The 20,688-nt window shown below is 41.1% G+C and overlaps 1 protein-coding gene and 3 pseudogenes across 2 annotated transcripts in view; 1 reads left to right on the forward strand and 3 right to left on the reverse strand.

The window, feature by feature from the left end:
* CYP4X1 (cytochrome P450 family 4 subfamily X member 1) overlaps nt 1–20,688 on the forward strand; it is a 94,069-nt gene that overhangs the window by 32,712 nt on the left and 40,669 nt on the right. The window contains exon 1 of one of the 2 annotated variants that reach the window (NM_001320290.2): nt 10,111–10,294. The exons of the other annotated variant lie outside the window; for it this stretch is intronic. The gene's annotated coding sequence lies outside the window, so the exon portion shown is untranslated. Of the gene's footprint in view, nt 1–10,110; nt 10,295–20,688 lie in introns of those variants that run through there. 2 annotated transcript variants of the gene reach the window in all.
* Nucleotides 317–427, reverse strand: CYP4A43P (cytochrome P450 family 4 subfamily A member 43, pseudogene; annotated as a pseudogene).
* Nucleotides 6,823–7,012, reverse strand: CYP4A27P (cytochrome P450 family 4 subfamily A member 27, pseudogene; annotated as a pseudogene).
* On the reverse strand, nt 8,920–9,073 carry CYP4A44P (cytochrome P450 family 4 subfamily A member 44, pseudogene; annotated as a pseudogene).

Below are 20,688 nucleotides of genomic sequence, written 5' to 3' on the forward strand. Positions count from 1 at the left end.
AGTCTTTAATCCACCTTGAATTAATTTTTGTATCAGGTGTAAGGAAGGGATCCAGTTTCAGCTTTCTACATATGGCTAGCCAGTTTTCCCAGCACCATTTATTAAATAGGGAATCCTTTCCCCATTTCTTGTTTTTGTCAGGTTTGTCAAAGATCAGATGGTTGTAGATGTATGGTATTATTTCTGAGGGCTCTATTCTGTTCCATTGGTCTATATATCTGTTTTGGTACCAGTACCATGCTGTTTTGATTACTGTAGCCTTGTAGTATACTTTATGCCCACCATTCCCTTAGTGCTGGCAGTGCCTGTGCAGTTAGGGCTGGGCTGCCTTCAATAGTAACAGAAGCAGGCTCAGCAGTGAGGCTCCTTGGAGGAGCCCTGAGACACCATCTGGGAGTCTGTTGGGGTTCAGCACAGAGACACTCATGCCGCAGCACCTGCTGGATCACTGAGTGCCCCTGTCAGTCCCTGACTGCCCCTGACTATCCCTGACCACCTCTGACAAGTCCTGTGAGATCCCCTGTCTACTTGTGGGGAAGGTAAAGTGGGAAGGAAGATCTTGGACCCCAGTGTCCAGAATTGATTGATTGTGCAGGATCCACCTGGGGAAATAGCAAGAGGAAAGCTTCGTGAGCTGTCCATAGTAATGGCCATGCACACACCCACATTCCCCTGTCCATATCACTCAAAAATATTCAACAAACACCTACTATGTGCCAGGCAGTATGCCAGATGGGGGGCACAGCTGTATAGAAACAGAAATGAACTGTGACTTTAGGAATTTATAGTCTAATTTACTGAATGTTCAAAACATGTGGCTGCTTTTATTATTACCTGGATTTCAGTAATGAGAAAATGATTACAGAGGAGTAGAAACTTCTGTTAAAAATAAAACACCCACTGAGAGTCAAAGATGGATTAGACTCTTTCTCTACTCCAATACTCCCTGTCCCAGGTGCCTCTGAAATATTACCTGGGGCTGGCCCTGTCCACCCTTCAGTCATCGCCCAAGGTGATGGTGCTGGTGGATGGAGCACTGGACTTGGACTCAGGAGCCTCAAGCCTCAGGCTCACTATATATGTTGATAGAAACTTAAAGTCTCTGAGCCTCAATTTTTTCTGTTGTAAGGTGGGAGCATAATCTTTATGCTACGTACCTAATAGATTTAAGTCATTCTTTCATTCAGCAAATGTTTCTTGAGCTCATAATTTAGAGGCTAAAGGCAGAAAACTAAAACTGTTCAATAAAATATCATAAGGCTTTACTAGGGAAGTGAAATATCCATCCAGGAAAGGAAAAATCTAAAAAGGAAGAATGAGGTCTTGAAGAGTAATAGGAGTTAACCGGGTAGAGAGTCCTAGGTAGAGGGACAAGCACCGAGAAAATCATGGAGATCACAGATAGAGGAGCAAGGGATGGGACATTTTATCTTCAAGTTCTGCACTCTCACTTTTTTCATGATTTATTTTCTCTAAGATCAAATTCAATGTCCAGAGTTCAGAGAGTAAGACACAACAGATATTTCTTGAAAAATTCCTCGGAAGTTTTAGAAGCCAGCTCTCACTGGGATCACAAGTTTCCTCCTGACCTGCTCTTTCACCCACCTTAAGTCTTACTCCCATCACTTTCCCCTTTGTGCCCCTGCCTTGTGACAAGAAATTCATTATAAAACTCATAGGGCCAGAGTTCTTTTCATTCTCCTCTAAGTCCTGGATGCCATCCAAAACCAACGGCAGAAGGCCATGCAACAACGTACACCCCATTTCAGCTGCCTTTCGTTTAGTTCTGTTGCTCCTTTTCCTCACTACATCATCCGGACACTGACACTTTTCATGCTGGGCTCAGCACCTGGTTTTTATTCACCCCCTGAGATACAGCAGCAGAAAGAGGTGTAGAGTCATAGTGCCTGTCTGTGAAACCTGGTTTTGGCTGTTTCTGTCTTTGGGTACTCATTTCTTAAAACAGTTGAGTTCATAATGTGGTAATATACAACATGTAGCGGGCACTGGCTATGTTCTAGGCATTGAACAAACAACTTTACATACTTTCTATCACAACAACTCTACGAAACTGTTTCTTAAAAAGAAATCTGATATTGTACATATAGAAACTAAGGCATGAAGAGGGTAGCTGCAACACTAGTGTCCCCCTGTTGGTAAGAGGTACAGCCAGGATTCTAACCCAGGCAGTCTGGCTCAGGAGACTTTGCTGTTCACCATCCATGTAAAGGAGATAATGATTAGGTTGAGCATCCAGGCCAGGTGGCAGCTCCTAAACATTCCAGGTGACATTTCATGTTTGCCATGTTTCTTCCAGTGTTTCCAAGTAGCAGGATGAGGTGTCAGGTTATCAACTACACATATTGACATAAATGCAAGCAAGCCTCTCTATTCGGGGTGGTTTCTGTGTGAAAGTGAATGGCAAAACTTGGGGCTAGGAGTAACATAGTCATTGAAAATGATGTTTATGGAGAATGTTTAATGATATGAATAAGAGTATAACAAAGTAATAAAAGCAGAATATAGAACTGTATGTAGAGTATGAGCTTCCATCTTAGAAAATTGTCCTTGTGATTGTCAAGGTTTATCAACAACTAAATATCTTTCCAATTCATTTGTTACCCAGACACTTCCACCAGAAACTCTTGGAAGGTGGTAACTCAGCATCTATGTCTTTTGCTTCCCATGGTATGAAGCAGAGGCCTGTGCCTGTTTATGATGCCCAAGGAATACCTGCTGATTGGACAAACGAGGGAGAGTAGGAATGAGTCAGATTTTGGATGGGTTACATCACCATCCTGAAGAGACTCAGATCAGTTTTGGGTGCCACACTGTAAAAAGGAACTTGGTATTTTTGTTGCTGAAAGCTTCCTTGTTCAGCGTTTAGGCAAAACAAAGGCTGAGGGAGGCAGTTGATCCCCGTGGTGGCACTTTGAAGCAGTTTCTCCTGTGGGTAGATGAGCCCAGGCACTTGTTTTCTGGGGTTTGATAAAGTTGAGTTTGATGCTGATGCAATCTTACATATCTTGTTTATGTCTACTCCTTTACAAAAACTGAATAGCCCATGCAGAAGTATTTTTTTTGTAAATGTTAAAGTGATTTATTTACTAAGGAATTCATCTTTTTCCTGTGGAGTTTATTCAAAAGATATTTTAAAATTATAGATTCAGGAGGTACATGTACATGTTTGTTACATGGATATATTGTGTAACACCGGGGTTTGGACTTCTACTGAACCTATCACCAAGATAGTGAACATAGTACCCAATAGGTAGCTTTTCAACCCTTGCCCTCCTTGCTTTATCCCACTTTTGGAGCCTCCAGTGTCTATTGTTTCCATCTTTATGTTCATGTGTATCCACTGTTTAGCTCCCACTTACAAGTAATAACATGCATGCAGTATTTGATTTTCTGTCTGGGGAATTATTTCATTTAGGATAATGGCCTCCAGCTGCATCCATTTTGCTGTGAAGAACATGATTTCATTCTTTTTATGGCGTATATATACTGCATTTTCTTTATCCAGTCCACTGTTGATGGACTCTTAGGTTGATTCAATGCCTTTACTATTGTGAAGAGTGCTGCCGTAAACATACATGTGTCTTTTCGAGAAAATGATTTCTTTTCCTTTGGATAGATACCTAGCAGCGGGATTGTTGCGTTTAATGGTAGTTCTATTTCTAGTTCTTTGAGAAATTTCTATAATGTTTCCCATAGGGTTGGACTAATTTACATTACCTCTAACAGTGGATAAGTGTTCCCTTTTCTACGTATCTTTGCCAACATTTGATATTTTTAGACTCTGTGATATGGCCATTCTGACCAGCTTGAGATAGTATCTCTGTGGTTTTAATTTGCATTCCTCTGGTGATTATTGATGTTGAGCATTTTTTCATATTTTTGCTGGCCACTTTTATGTCCTTTTGAGAAGGGTCTGTTCATGTTCTTTGTCCATTTATCATTTTTTTTATTTTTGAAAGGAGGTGTTTTTTATTAAAAATAAGGAGCTAATACAGTTTTGATTTAGTATTATGCATAAAGTGAAGATTAGTGGTTTATTAGGTTTTTTTGTTTGTTTTTTGTAGGTTTTTCTGTTTGTTTGTTTTTTAGAAACCTAGTCTTGTTCTGTCATCCAGGTCACCCAGACTGGAGTGCAATGGTGTGATCATAGCTCACTGCAGCCTCGACATCCTGGACTCGAGTGATCCTCCTGCTCTAGCTTCCCAAGTAGCTGGAACTACAGGCGTGCACCATCACACCTGCTTAATTTTTTACTTTTTGTAGAGACAGGGTCTCCCTGTGTTGCCTAGGCTGGTCTCAAATTCCTGATTTGCCCATTTGTAAATAGAGTTATTAGTTTTTTCTTTTTGAGCTTTTTAAGTTTCCTATAGATTCTAAAAATTAGTCCTTTTTCACATGCATAGTTTGCAAATATTTTCTCCCCTCCTGTAGGTTGTCTGTTTACTCTGTTGATTTTTTCTTTTGCTGTGGAGAAGATCTTTAGTTTTATTAAGTCCAGTTTGTTTATTTCTGTTTTGGTTGCATTTGCTTATGAGATCTTAGTCATAAATTCTTTGTATTGGCCAGAAGAGTATTTCCTAAGTTTTCTTCTAGGATTTTTATACTTTCATGTCTCATATTTAAATCTTTAATCCATCTTGAGTGAATTTTTGTATATGGTGAGAAGTAGGAGTCCAGTTTTATTTTGTATATAGCTAGCCAGTTTTCCCAGTATCATTTATTGAATTGGGTATTCTTTCCCCATTATTTATTTTTGGTGCCTTTCTTGAAGATCTGGTTTGTATAGGTATGTGGCTTTATTTCTAGGCTCTCTATTCTGTCCCATTGATCTATGTGTCTATTTTTGTACAAGTACCATGTTGATTTGGTTACTATAGCCTTGTAGTAGAATTTTAAATTAGGTAATTTGATGCCTTGGGCTTGCTTTCTTTGTGTGTGTGTGTGTGTGTGTGTGTGTGTGTGTGTGTGTGTTTTGGTGCTGAGAACACTTTAGCTATTTGGCTTCTTTTTTCAGCTCCATATGAATTTTGGAGATTGTTTCAGTAAATTCAATACCAGCTCTTCTCTGTTCACCTGGTAGTATTTGGCTGTAACCCATCTGGCCCCAGACTTTTCTTGATAGGTAGACTTTTTATTACTGATTCAATTTTGTAACTTATAATTGACATATTCAAAATTTCAATGTCTTCCTGGTTCAATCTTGGGATTTTGTGTTTCCAGGAGTTTTCCCACTTCCACTAGGCTTTCTAGTTTGTGTGTATTGAGATGTTTATAGTAGTCGCTGAGGATCTTTTTTATTTCTGTGTTATCAGTTGTAATGTTACCTTTGTTATTTCTGATTGTTCTTATTTCAATCTCCTCTCTTTTTTTCTTTGTTCATCTACCTAGTGGTCTATCAACTTTGTTTATGGTTTCAAATAACCAACTTTTCACATTGGTCCTTTGTATGATTTTTTGGTCTCGATTTTATTTAGTTCTGCTCTGATCTTTGTTATTTCTTTTCTTCTAGTTGCTTTGGGTTTGTTATTGTTTTTATAGTTCCTTAGGTGTGGCATTAGGTTGTTAATTTGAGATCTTTTTATATTTTTGATGTAGGCATTTAGAGCTGAATACTATGAATACATTCTGCAATTTGTGGGCTGTCTTTTAACTCTTTTTCTTTTTTTTTTTTAACTTGTACATGGTATAGGAAAGGGTCCATCTTCAATCACATATGGATATCCAGTTTTACCCCCTCCTTGTCCACCATCCCTATCTCTTTGGTGACAAGGGACTTGCCTTGTCTCAGATGAGAATTTGGAGCTGGACTTTTGAGTTAATGCTAGAATGAGTTAAGACTTTGTGGGATGATTGGGAAGGCATGATTGGTTTTGAAATGTGAGAAGGACATGAGATTTGAGAGGGGCCGGGGTGGAATGATGTGGTTTGGCTCTGTACCCCTACTCAAATCTCATCTTGAATTGTAATCCCCATGTGTCAAGGAGGGACCTGGTGGGAGGTGATCGGATCATGGAGGTGGTTTCCTCCATGCTGTTCTCATGATAATGAGGGGAGTTCTCACAAGATCTGATGATTTTAGAGGTGTTTGGCAATTCCCTTTCATGCTCTGTCCCTCACCTACTACCATGTAAGGTGCGCTTTGACTCTCCTTTGCCTTCCACCATGATTTTATGTTTCCTGAGGCCTCCCTAGTCATGCAGAACTGTGAGTCAATGAAACCTTCTTTTGTTATAAACAACTCAGTGTCAGGTAGTATCTTTTTAGCAGTGTGAAAACAGATAAATACAAGCGGCCAGTAATGCAAGAAAGGCAGCTCTAGAGGTGAAAGGCCTATGGGATGGACTCTCCTCTATGCTTTCTGGGGGGTTTGGCCCGGCCCACAACTTGTTTTCACTCATAGAAACCCATTTCCAACTTTGACCTCCAGAACTATAAGAGAATAAAAAGATATTATTTTAAATCACTGAGGTTGTGGTAGTTTATTATAGTGGCAATAAGAAACCTCTACGGATACAGACAAGCAGGCAGAAGAAAGAAGACAGATATAGGGGCAGACAAGCTGGAGGGCAGGCAGAAATTGGGAGTTGGGTGGGGATTCAGGGATGCAGTTGGGTAGGAGACAGGTAGAGAAGCAGGTAGGGAGCCTGGAGAAAGGTGAGGGAGAGAATTGCAGACAGACTGGGGTACAGAAGGCAGGACAACATACAGGTGGGAAGAAGGCAGGTGGGTGGATAGAAAGAAGGATATAGGCAAACAAGCAGGGAACAGAAAGAAAGGATGGCATGTAGAGGACTTCAGATCTGGTTCTTGTCCTCACAAGTATTAGGGAGCCTCTTAACATGCAGGTGTATCCCATTGTTGAATTTCAACACCATTTGTGGTAAGAGGATAGGGATACTGGCAGGATCAGAAAACAGCTTAAAGTTGAGTAGGGTCAGGGCCACCTTAAGCTCGTTCATGGCAAATTGTTTCCCGATGCAGTTCCTGAGCCAGGCAGAGACAATGAATTGAGATGTGGTTTCAGGCCCCATTTTGTACTGGACAGGCTCTGGCCTGTAAGCTCCAGTCTGAAGCTGAGTATTCAGGGTCCACCTTCATTTATCCAAGCCTTGGTTCACACTTTCCCCTGACCTTGGACAGAACCTACCAGTCTTGCTCTTAATTCCTACCTCTGCTCTCAGCAGGCCTGAACCACTCTGTCAGGACAGGGCCTGGGCTCTAAGGCACAGAGTCTAATCACATGGATGGATAAAGAGTTAATCAATGGTTTGTTCACTCTTCCACAAACATTTCTGGTTCCCTAGTGTGGAGGCCAGTTCAGGTCACTGTAGGGTGAGGATGGGCCATAATCAGGCGTTCCCTTTATAGGGAGACCGACAGGCACCCAGATCCTCAGAGCTGGGCCAAGGCGGGTATGGGCAGCGGAGTCAGAAGGGCTTTGGGGAGGCTTCCTAGAGGGGCAGTGGGTGGGTGGTCCTCAGCTGTTGCCCCACCTGCCTCCCACTCCAGGGTCTAAGCTCCTGCCTTGCCCTTACGCCTCGGTCCAATAGCACCTGTAGCTTTCTAATTCTACTTCAGAAGTTTTTCTTCTTTGTCATCCCTCAGTCTTCTTGCCTGGACTTTCTGGATCCCTGCTTCTCCTTCCTCCACACTGAAGCCACAGTCCAGCTCAGACCCTCCCACGCTCTTCATCACAGCGGGGACAGCGTCCCAATACCTCATCTGGCAGCCAAACCCTCCATGGCCTGTTGCCTCACCCACTTCTTACCTGTCCAACCCATGTCCTAACCCTCTTCATGTGGAGATGGCTGAGAACATCCTCCCTCCACCTCTGCCTTCTGCATCGTCAAGGCTAAGGCCAGGGCCCAGCTTCCTCTCGCCCTCTATTGGCTGTGCCTCTCCCTCTCTAAACATCCAGGCAGCGTTCGTGATTTATCCACTGACAGTTATAATTGAGTGCCTAGGACAGTGCCAGGGACAGGGACACTCAATGAGCCATTCATTTAGTGACCGAGTGAGTGAAAGAACGGATAAGGGAGCAATGTGTCTGGAGCATAGGATGTATTTCTGTACAACACATTTTTGTCCTTGACTATGAACTCTTCAAGGCAGGGTCAGTACCTGTTATCTCTCTTTTCCCATCACACTGCACAGGACTTGACCCACAGAGGTAGGCTTAATAAACACTTTTATATTTGAATGAAGTTGCTTAGGTTTTGAAAAATGAATAAAATCGAATGGAATACAGTGAGAATAATTCTTAGTTCTGAGCTAGAAATTGAGCTTAGGGATGCTCTCCTGTCCTCTAGTGGCAGTGACATGATTGGCAGCCAATGCTTAGGAGGAAGTTCTCATCCTGGGATAAACCAATGCCTAAAAATTACTGTCTGTAAGAACAATTTGCTTGAAGCCTGTCCTGTGAAATTGGAGTCATCATTAGGGAATTTACAGAATTACTTATTTAGAAAAACCTTGTTTCTACTGTTTACATCCTTTTTTGCATTTGTACTTCAAAGGACCATTCCTGCAGCCTTTGAGAATTTCTAAAGCATCCATTTTGGAGTGTATGTGTCCAGCTGAATAGCTCATTCAAATGTGTTTTATGTTTTACACAACAGGATCCTTCAAATGCTATGTGTTATATGCTAAAAAGGGAGTTTTCCTCAAACACGGTTTATTGTCCTCATTTTGGTGTTTCTGCCAATATTGTGATATGTGGACTATTGGACTATGCTATAGAGATCCCACTGCATCTAAACAATTTTGTCAAATTAAAAAGTAGTTATAAATATGTGAATATTATAATGCAGTGGACATTTGTTTGGCAAGACAGATCCAGAGGCATGTACACAAGAGGGAAGAGCTGCTACAGCTGGAGTGTGGTTTCTCTCTCACTTGATCTCCCTAGAATCACCTCCATCTTGTCAGGGTCATATAATAGGAAGTGAACTTTGCGCCCCCCACAGCAAGTGAGAACAGGATCACAGAAATCTCTCTTTGGGTAGATTCAGAAATCTACCCATTTCTGAAATTGTTTTAGCTCCTGGTCTGTTGGTTTCTCTGTCACCAAGAGAAACACAGATCAATGAAAACTTTCATTTAGTTCTCATCATTGGATTGGAGTAAAGGGCAATTGATCACAGGGAGATCATTCTGAATCAATCAGCAGAAGTTAGAAATTTGGAACTGTTTCTGTGGACCTGGAAAGTGATCCAGGCTCCTGCTGTCTCCCGGCACTTAACTTGAGCCAGAAATTGTCCCCATATTGGGTGAACTGTATGGCTCAGAGGAGCTACCGGTGTCAGAAACCACAGGTCCCTGCAATTTCCATCTCCTCTTAATTGTTGGATTAGGCCATTCTTGAATTACCATAAATACCTGAGGCTAAGAGTAATTTATTTTTAAAAAATATTTAATTGGCTCATGATTCTGCAGGCTGTACAAGCATGATGCCGGCAACTGCTCAGCTTCTGGAAAGACCTAAGGGGGTTTTTACTCATGTCATAAGGCAAAGTGGGAGCAGGCACATCACAGGGCAAAGCCAGGAGCAAGAGAGAGAGTAGGGTGGGGAGGTGCCACACTTTACAACAACCAGGTCTCACAAGAACTTACTCACTATTGTGAGGACAGCACCAAGCCGTGAAGGATCTGCCCCCATAACCCAAACACCTCCCGCCAGGACCCACCTCCAACAATAGGATATTTCAACATGAGATTTGAGCAGAGATAAATATCCAAACTATATCATTCTACCCTTCCCTCTCCACCGTCCCCGCCAAAAAATCTCAGATCCTTCTCACGTTACAAAATACAATCATGCCTTCACAACAGGTAGCTAACAGTCTCAACTTGAGCCAAGAAAATGGGGTCTGGAGACAGAGAACATAAGGCTAATTCATGCTGGCTTCCTAGAACTAAATCAAATGGAAACACTTCAGCTATGCTAGGAAATATCTTCTCCATTTACATAGGGTGTACACCTAGTAAATGTCTTTGTAACTTTATCCTCTTCATTTACATAGGGTGTATACCAAGCAACCAATGGAAACCTGTAAAGGGTATTTAAACCCCAGAAAATTCTGTAACGGGGCTCTTGAGCCCCTGTGCTCGGGGCCGCTCCCATCTTGTGGAGCGTACTTTCATTTTCAATAGAGCTTTGCTTTTGTTGCTTCATTCTTTCCTTGCTTTGTGTGTTTTGTCCAATTCTTTGTTCAAGACACCAAGAACCTAGACACCCTCCACCAGTAACATATTCTAGTGAGCCAGCCAGGAGGTAAGCCCAAAGTTTGGGATTTATTTTTCACCTTTTCCTTTCTGCTTCATACAAAGGAATCTCTCCCTCTCTCTCTCTTTTCCTTTCCAACTCAGGACCCTTGGTGGGCAGCACCTAAACCCAGAGGCAACTGCAGATGTCTGGCCATGGCCAGTGAAATTAAGAGGTTTCCATGTGGAGGTGCCTAGCTGCAACTGCCTGTTAGCTTAAAGGACCTGAGTCTTTTTGCCTTTTTTTTTTAATTTATTTATTTCTTTTTCTGTCTTTCAGCTGCTGTTTCTAGTAGCTCCTTGGAAATTGAGGCCACCTGGCTGCAGCCACTCTTTTGTGTTGCCTGAAAGCCAAGGAGTAAAGGCAGATAATTGCCCTGGCTGGAAGGAGGAAGGACTCTTTTCTATCTTTTCCAGTTGTGGTCCCTTATCCCTACATGTGGTGCAGCTCAGCGCAAATGTGCACATGTTTCAGATTATTTAAACTTTGTTTTCTTATGCTAAATTCTTCCCTTACCCTACTTGACTGGCTAAGGACAAAAGAAACCCACCCAGCCTCCAGTTCCTATATCACTAGTGGAATGGGAAGCCACAAATTATAAGGTGGCTAGAAGTTGAGGCCTTCATCCAGGGACAAAAGGAAAGCTCATGGTAGGCCATCACCTCTGGAGGGAAAACATGTAATTGGCACCAGTGTCCACCTAAGGTCAGAGACATCTGATACTCTAAGATTGGACCTCAAAGGGGGATGCCCTGAGGAATCCTCTGGACCTCAACCTCTCCAAAGGGGATGCACTCAGAAGAGGTTCTGAGGTCTAGTACTAAGCAGTCCTTAGAATTTTCTCTTGGAGTTGCAATACTGTTTGGCCTCAATATTGCTTGGAATCTAGAGTTTACCATTGAATGGGAAAGTGGGATGGTGTTGCATGTATCCAGACTTAGGTGCTGCTGTCCCAAGCAGGGGGCTTGGTTAATGTGTGATGCTCTCCTTTGGTGATGTTTGGCCCCAGTGCTCTTTGGAGTCTGGGGGTTTGGCCTTTAAAAATCAAACTGCCATGGAGACTGCTTTACCCAAAATTTTGGATCACAGTCTTTATTGGATTATCTATTGGGGCAAAGTAAAGCCGGTGAGCTTTATTGCTATCTCATGGCTAGCATTCCAAGCTATTGGATCTTCATTTATATGTGTGTATACAAGTCTAGATGTGTTTATTTGTATGTACACTTATTGTTATATGTTGTGACTAGCAAATTGGCTTATAAGTAAAAGAGTGGTCATATATTAAATGATTAAGTGTAAGCAATTTTCAAGTTCAGGTAACTTAAGTATAACTTTACTAAAAAAGCTGGCTTTAAAATTATCGGTGGAACAAAACCAGAAATGCCTTCAGAATTGTCAGCATACATTTTGTCTGAATTTTATATTTGTCTTTGCTAGACATTTTGAGATGTCAGTGTTTGGCATAGAAAGTTATAAAACTATAAGCCCAGTCAAAACAAAATGATTTGACTTGTGTGCCTTTTTTGACAAATGAGAGTAATTTAATGTTAGCTAAATCTCCTGAGTTATTGGCAAAAATACCTATGTATTTAACTTTGAGACATGTACTTAGGTTTAGGTGAGCACCTGATGTTCACTGGCTATTAGAAACATGGTTAACAAGGGAATCACTAACTTTAAAATGATAGTGTCTAATATCTCAGTTTACAGAAGTAATCTAGATAAACTGTTAAAAGTGAAAGAATCGAGTCCAGTGAATGGGGTAAATGTTTTACATAAACTTTTTGTGTAAATTAAAATCTTAAAATTATTTTTGATCCTCATTTAATATCTGGGTCATTTCCAATGAAGAAAGGTTTGTGATATAAGGAAATATGGTTCTAAAAACTGTGGAATTGTTCTTATCTATAAGTGCCCACATCTGATAGTTCAGGATTTCTTGCTTTTTGGGATTTCACTAAAGTTTTAGGTTACCAAGCATAAGAATTCTAGTAGACACATAATTCTGTATACAAAATGTCCCAGAAAGCGTTATGTTATTAGTGAGAAAAAGAATAACTTTGTCTGATTCAGAAGTTATCTAAGAGAGGTGGAGCCAAGATGGCCGAATAGGAACAGCTCCAGTCTACAGCTCCCAGTGTGAGTGATGCAGAAGATGGGTGATTTCTGCATTTTCAACTGAGGTACCGGGTTCATCTCACTGGGGAGTGTCAGAGAGTGGGTTCAGGACAGTGGATGCAACACACTGAGCATGAGCCAAAGCAGGGTGAGTCATCGCGTCACCCAGGAAGTGCAAGGGGTCAGGGAATTCCCTTTCATAGTCAAAGAAAGGGGTGACAGACGGCACCTGGAAAATTGGGTCACACACACCCTAATACTGTGCTTTTCCAATGGTCTTAGCAAACGGCACACCAGGAGATTATATCCTGCGACTGGCTTGGAGGGTCCTATGCTCACGGAGCCTCGCTCATTGCTAGCACAGCAGTCAGATCAAACTGCAAGGCGGCAGCGAGGCTGGGGGAGGGCACCCAAAACTGCCGAGGCTTGAGTAGGTAAACAAAGCGGCTGGGAAGCTCAAACTGGGTGGAGCCCACCACAGCTCAAGGAGACCTGCCTGCCTCTGTAGACTCCACCACTGGGGCAGGGCATAGCCAAACAAAAGGCAGCAGAAACCTCTGCAGACTTAAATGTCCCTGTCTGACAGCTTTGAAGAGAGTAGTAGTTCTCCCAGCACGCAGCTGGAGATCTGAGAACAGACAGACTGCCTCCTCAGGTGGGTCCCTAAACCCCGAGTAGCCTAACTGGGAGGCACCCTCCAGTAGGGGCAGACTGACACCTCACACGGCCAGGTACTCCTCTGAGACAAAATTTCCAGGCAAACGATCCGGCAGCAACATTTGCTGTTCACCAACATCCGCTGTTCTGCAGCCACCGCTGCTGATACCCAGGCAAACAGGGTCTGGAGTGGACCTCCAGCAAACACCAACAGACCTGCAGCTGAGGGTCCTGACTGTTAGAAGGAAAACCAACAAACAGAAAGGACATCCACATCAAAACCCCATCTGTACGTCACCATGATCAAAGACCAAAGGTAGATAAAACCACAAAGATGGGGAAAAAACAAAGCAGCAAAACTGGAAACTCTAAAAATCAGAGTGCCTCTCCTCTTCCAAAGGAACACAGCTCCTCACCAGCAATGGAACAAAGCTGGACGGAGAATGACTTTGACGAGTTGAGAGAAGAAGGCTTCAGATGATCAAACTACTCCAAGCTAAAGGAGGAAGTTCAAACCCATGGCAAAGAAGTTAAAAACCTTGAAAAAAAATTAGACGAATGGCTAACTAGAATAACCCAATGCAGGGAAGTCCTTAAAGGACCTGACGGAGCCGAAAACCATGGCACGAGAACTACGTGATGAATGCACAAGCCTCAGTAGCCAATTCGATCAACTGGAAGAAAGGGTATCAGTGATGGAACATCAAATGAATGAAATGAAGTGAGAAGTTTAGAGAAAAAAGAATAAAAAGAAATGAACAAAGCCTCCAAGAAATATGGGACTATGTGAAAAGACTGAATCTATGTATGATTGGTGTACCTGAAAGTGATGGGGAGAAGGGAACCAAGTTGGAAAACACTCTTCAGGATATTATCCAGGAGAACTTCCCCAATCTAGCAAGGCAGGCCAACATTCAGATTCAGGAAATACAGAGAATGCCACAAAGATACTCCTCGAGAAGAGCAACTCCAAGACACATAATTGTCAGATTCACCAAAGTTGCAATGAAGGAAAAAAGGTTAAGGGCAGCCAGAGAGAAAGGTCGGGTTACCCACAAAGGGAAGCCCATCAGACTAACAGCTGATCTCTCGGCACAAACTCTACAAGCCAGAAGAGAGTGGGGGCCAATATTCAACATTCTTAAAGAAAAGAATTTTCAACCCAGAATTTCATATCCAGCCAAACTAAACTTCATAAGTGAAGGAGAAATAAAATACTTTACAGACAAGCAAATGCTGAGAGATTTTGTCACCAGCAGGCCTGCCTTACAAGAGCTCCTGAAGGAAGCACTAAACATGGAAAGGAACAACCAGTACCAGCCACTGCAAAAACATGCCACATTGTAAAGACCATCAAGGGCAGGAAAAAACTGCATCAACTAATGAGCAAAATAAACAGCTAACATCATAATGACAGGATCAAATTCACACATAACAATATTAACCTTAAATGTAAATGGGCTAAATGCTCCAATTAAAAGACACAGACTGGCAAATTGGATAAAGAGTCAAGACCCATCAGTGTGCTGTATTCAGGAAACCCATCTCATGTGCAGAGACACACATAGGCTCAAAATAAAGGGATGGAGGAAGATCTACCAAACAAATGGAAACAAAAAGGCAGGGGTTGCAATCCTAGTCTCTGATAAAACAGACTTTAAACCAACAAAAATCAAAAGACACAAAGAAGGCCATTACATAATGGTAAAGGGATCAATACAACAAGAAGAGCTAACTATCCTAAATATATATGCACTCAATACAGGAGCACCCAGATTCATAAAGCAAGTCCTTAGAGACCTACAAAGAGACTTAGACTCCCACACAATAATGGGAGACTTTAACACCCCACTGTGAACATTAGACAGATCAACGAAACAGAAAGTTAACAAGGATATCCAGGAATTGAACTCAGCTCTGCACCAAGTGGATCTAATAGACATCTACAGAACTCTCCACCCAAGATCAACAGAATATACATTCTTTTCAGCACCACACCACACCTATTCCAAAATTGACCACATAGTTGGCAGTAAAGCACTCCTCAAAAAGAACAGAAATTATAACAAACTGTCTCTCAGACCACAGTGCAATCAAACTAGAACTCAGGATTAAGAAACTCACTCAAAACCGCTCAACTACATGGAAACTGAACAACCTGCTCCTGAATGACTACCTGGTACATAAAGAAATGAAGGCAGAAATAAAGATGTTCTTTGAAACCAACGAGACCAAAGACACAACATACCAGAATTTATGGGACACATTCAAAGCAGTGTGTAGAGGGAAATTTATAGCAATAAATGCTCACAAAAGAAAGCAGGAAAGATCTAAAATTGACACCCTAACATCACAATTAAAAGAACTAGAGAAGCAAGAACAAACACGTTCAAAAGCTAGCAGAAGGCAAGAAATAACTAAGATCAGAGCAGAACTGAAGGAAATAGAGACACAAAAAACCCTTCAAAAAATCAATGAATCCCAGAGCTGGTTTTTTGAAAAGATCAACAAAATTGATAGACCACTAGCAAGACTAATAAAGAAGAAAAGAGAGAAGAATCAAATAGATGCAATAAAAAGTGATAAAGGGGATATCACCACCTATCCCACAGAAATACAAACTACCATCAGGGAATACTATAAACACTTCTATGCAAATAAACTAGAAGATCTAGAAGCAATGGATAAATTCCTCGACACATACACCTTCCCAAGAATAAACCAGGAAGAAGGTGAATGTCTGAATAGACCAATAACAGGCTCTGAAATTGAGGCAATAATTAATAACTTACCAAACAAAAAAAGTCCAGCACCAGATGGATTCACAGCCGAATTCTAGCAGAGGTACAAGGAGGAGCTGGTACCATTCCTTCTGAAACTCTTCCAATCAATAGAGAAAGAGGGAATCCTCCCTAACTCATTTTATGAGGCCAGCATCATCCTGATACCAAAGCCTGGCAGAGACACAACAAAAAAAGAGAATTTTAGACCAATATCCCTGATGAACATCGATGCAAAAATCCTCAATAAAATACTAGCAAACCGAATCCAGCAGCACATCAAAAAGCTTATCCACAGTGATCAAGTGGGCTTCAACCCTGGTATGCAAGGCTGGTTCAACATACGCAAATCAATAAATGTAATCCAGCATATAAACAGAACCAACAACAAAAACCACATAATTATCTCAATAAATGCAGAAAAGGCCTTTGACAAAATTCAACAACCTTCATGCTAAAAACTCTCAATAAATTAGGTATGGATAAGACATATCTCAAAATAATAAGAGCTATCTATGACAAACCCACAGCCAATATCATACTGAATGGGCAAAAACTGGAAGCACTCCCTTTGAAAACTGGCACAAGACAGGGATGCCCTCTCTCACCACTCCTATTCAACATAGTGTTGGAAGTTCTGGCCAGGGCAATCAGGCAGGAGAAGGAAATAAAGGGCATTCAATTAGGAAAAGAGAAAGTCAAATTGTCCCTGTTTGCAGATGACATGATTGTATATCTAGAAAACCCCATCGTCTCAGCCCAAAATCTCCTTAAGCTGATAGGCAACTTCAGCAAAGTCTCAGGATACAAAATCAATGTGCAAAAATCACAAGCATTCTTATACACCAATAACAGACAGAGAGCCAAATCATCAGTGATCTCCCATTCACAATTGCTTCAAAGAGAATGAAATACCTAGGAATCCAACTTACAAGGGACGTGAAGGACCTCTTCAAGGAGAACTACAAACCACTGTTCAATGAAATAAAAGAGGATACAAACAAATGGACTAACATTCCATGCTCACGGGTAGGAAGAATCAATATCGTGAAAATGGCTATACTGCCCATGGTAATTTATAGATTCAATGCCATCCCCATCAAGCTACCAATGACTTTCTTCACAGAATTAGAAAATACTACTTTAAAGTTCATAGAGAACCAAAAAACAGCCCGCATTGCCAAGACAACCCTAAGCCAAAAGAACAAAGCTGGAGGCATAATGCTATCTGACTTCAAGCTATACTACAAGGCTACAGTAACCAAAACAGCATGGTACTGGTACCAAAACAGAGATATAGACCAATGGAACAGAACAGAGCCCTCAGAAATAATACCACACATCTACATCCATCTGATCTTTGACAAACCTGACAAAAACAAGAAATGGGGAAAGGATTCCCTATTTAATAAATGGTGCTGGGAAAACTGGCTAGCCATATGTAGAAAGCTGAAACTGGATCTCTTCCTTACACTTTATACAAAAATTAATTCAAGATGGATTAAAGACTTAAATGTTAGACCTAAAACCATAAAAACCCTAGAAGAAAACCTAGGCAATACCATTCAGAACATAGGTATGGGCAAGGACTTTATGACTAAAACACCAAAAGCAATGGCAACAAAAGCCAAAATTGACAAATGTGATCTAATTAAACTAAAGAGTTTCTGCACAGCAAAAGAAACTACCATCAGACTGAACAGGCAACCTACAGAATGGGAAAAAATTTTTACAATCTACCCATCTGGCAAATGGCTAATATCCAGAATCTACAAAGAACTTAAATAAATTTACAAGAAAAAATCAAACAACCCCATCAAAAAGTGGACAAAGGATACGAACAGACACTTCTCAAAAGAAGACATTTATGCAGCCAAAAGACACATGAAAAGATGCTCATCATCACTGGCCATCGGAGAAATGCAAATCAAAACCACAATGAGATACCATCTCACACCAGTTAGAATGGCGATCATTAAAAAGTCAGGAAACAACAGGTGCTGGAGAGGAGGTGGAGAAATAGGAACACTTTTACACTGTTGGTGGGACTGTAAACTAGTTCAATCATTGTGGAAGACAGTGTGGCGATTCCTCAAGGATCTAGAACTAGAAATACCATTTGACCCTGCTATCCCATTACTGGGTATATACCCAAAGGATTATAAATCACGCTGCTATAAAGACACATGCACATGTATGCTTATTGTGGCACTATTCACAATAGCAAAGACTTGGAACCAACACAAATGTCCAACAATGATAGACTGGATTAAGAAAATGTGGCACATATACACCATTGAATACTAAGCAGCCATAAAAAAGATGAGTTCATGTCCTTTGTAGGGACACGGATGAAGCTGGAAACCAGTATTCTCAGCAAACTATCACAAGGACAGAAAACCAAACACTGTATGTTCTCGCTTATAGGTGGGAATTGAACAATGAGAACACTTGGACACAGGGTGGGGAACATCGCACACCAGGGCCTGTCATGGGGTGAGGGGAGTGGGGAGGGATAGTATTAGGAGAAATACCTAAGGTAAATGACGAGTTAATGGGTGCAGCACACCAACATGGCACATGTATACGTACGTAACAAACCTGCACGTTGTGCACATGTACACTAGAACTTAAAGTATAATAATAAAAAAAACTATCGATATTCAAAGAAAGAAAAAACCAGACTGAAAAAAAAAAGGTCTGGCATAGATGTGAAGTAATACACATGCCAGTCCCTTTGCAACAGCTCCCAAGAGCCCACTGATCCAGGGACCAAGGTTTTTTAGCTTATTTGTCCTTATTTGTGAAATGAGGCTTATACTGCCCTGTATTTCACAGAGTGGTCTGGAGGACTGAAAGATAAAAGATATGTAAAAGTGACATATTAGGTAAGCTCTTATAGTTTCCACTTCCTGGTACTTGGGAGTGAGTTTTTAAAAAATTACAAGTCTAAGAGTCAGTTTGCCCAAAGTTGCATTGTCTCTAACAAAAAATAAAGTCCTTTACTTAGTCTTCCTACTTATTTCTATACATTTAAACATTTTTTTTCCTACGTTTTGTTGTTGTTGTTTTTCTGTATCAGCACATAAATAAGTAGTTACCAGCTTTCAGCTTCACTCTAGGGGAAAGGTCACCATACCGTTTTCTCGATGGTAGGCTGTTGTGGCTGGTTCATTCCGAGTTTGTTGGTGGTGGTGTTTGCTTTTAAAGTGAAAGCAAGTTTATTGGGAAGGTAAAGGAATAAAGAATGGCTACTCAATAGGCAAAGCAGCCCCAAGAGCTGCTGGTTGCCATAAATTTTGGCAAATTTATGACTCACTATATATGTCTGCGTAATGTCAAAAAGTGGTAGGGGAGAGGTCTTAGGATGCATTGGAGGCACAGTGTGATACAGAAGACAGACTTTGGGAGCCACATATGACCAAGGTCAAGTTATTTCGTTTCTCAGGCTTCAACTTGCTCATTTGTAAAGCGGAAATAGTGAGGCCTACTTGGGACAACAGAGATAGCACATGTAAGATTCCTGGCACATAGTAAGAGTTCAGTGTTATTTGATATTATTATTATTCCAGATAAGAGTCTAACTTGGCAGAAGCTGATGTGTCAGTTACACCATAAGTTACATTACTTATGTGATGTTCAAACAATATTATTATTTTTGAAATACACCCAAGTTGGACAAATATGAGAATTGCTTAAGGCATTTGACTTACTATTGAGTAAGTTAATTGTTTAACTTATTATCCAAAATAGCAATTTATTTAATTTGATGTTAAGCAAATAAACTCTTTCATCAGATGGGGAAGGTGAAGTTTAAATGACTTTAGTTGACCTCAATATACTCTTTTTTTTTTTTTTTTTTTTTGAGATGGAGTCTTGCTCTGTCACCCAGGCTGGAATGCAGTGGCATGATCTCAGTTCACTGCAATCTATGCCTCCTGGGTTCAAGCAATTCTCCTGCCTCAGCCTCCCAAGTAGCTGGGATTACAGCTGGGATTACAGGTATCCACCACCATGTCTGGCTAATTTTTTTATTTTTAGTAGAGATAGTGTTTCGCCAAGTTGGCCAGGCTGGTCTCAAACTCCTGACCTCAGGTGATCTGCCCACCTCGGCCTCCGAAAGTGCTGGGATTACAGGTGTGAGCCACCCCACCTGGCCCTCAATGTACTTTTAAATTTAATAATTTTGAGTTGGCCCATTTATATTTAATAAGGAAAACAGATACTGGATATTGACATTGTAAAATTAAATAATAGTAGTATTCAAAACTGTCTATGACTGGAAATATTTAATGGGATTTTATACAATTTGCATTTTGTGTTATACTGTGTTGTGGTTTAAAGTACTATAAAATGTGAAACTCTACATCTGCCCCAACCTTTTCTTCCTCCTACCTTCAAGGCCAGTGACTGCACTAGGAATCCCAACCTCACTTACTAGGAATTGGGGGTGAGGTTGGGGTAGGAAATAGAGAGAGGAGGAGAAACCTTAACCTTCTTTCACTCTCAAATCCCTGAGATCCCCATCCAGAAACATTCCAACTCTCCTTTCACAGTCAAACTCTTCAAAGTGGTTGACACTTCTCCATACCTCCTTACTGCCCTCCTAATTTCTTCTCAACCCACTTTATTTTGATTTCTGTTTCTATCATTTCAACATCTCTTCCCAAGTTTACAACTGACTTCCATGATATGAATTCCAATAAACACATTTTAAACTTTGTTTTGTAACTCATCATTCATCTTTCATTTCAAGTGTCTCAGCCTCTTTCTTTGTATCTCACACTGGATGATCCTGGTTTCCTTCACACTTCTCTGCTTGCCTCTTTTCCATCTCCTCTGGAGGTT

The sequence above is a fragment of the Homo sapiens genome, chromosome 1 (assembly GCF_000001405.40).
Source record: "Homo sapiens chromosome 1, GRCh38.p14 Primary Assembly".
NCBI classification, from domain to species: domain Eukaryota; kingdom Metazoa; phylum Chordata; class Mammalia; order Primates; family Hominidae; genus Homo; species Homo sapiens.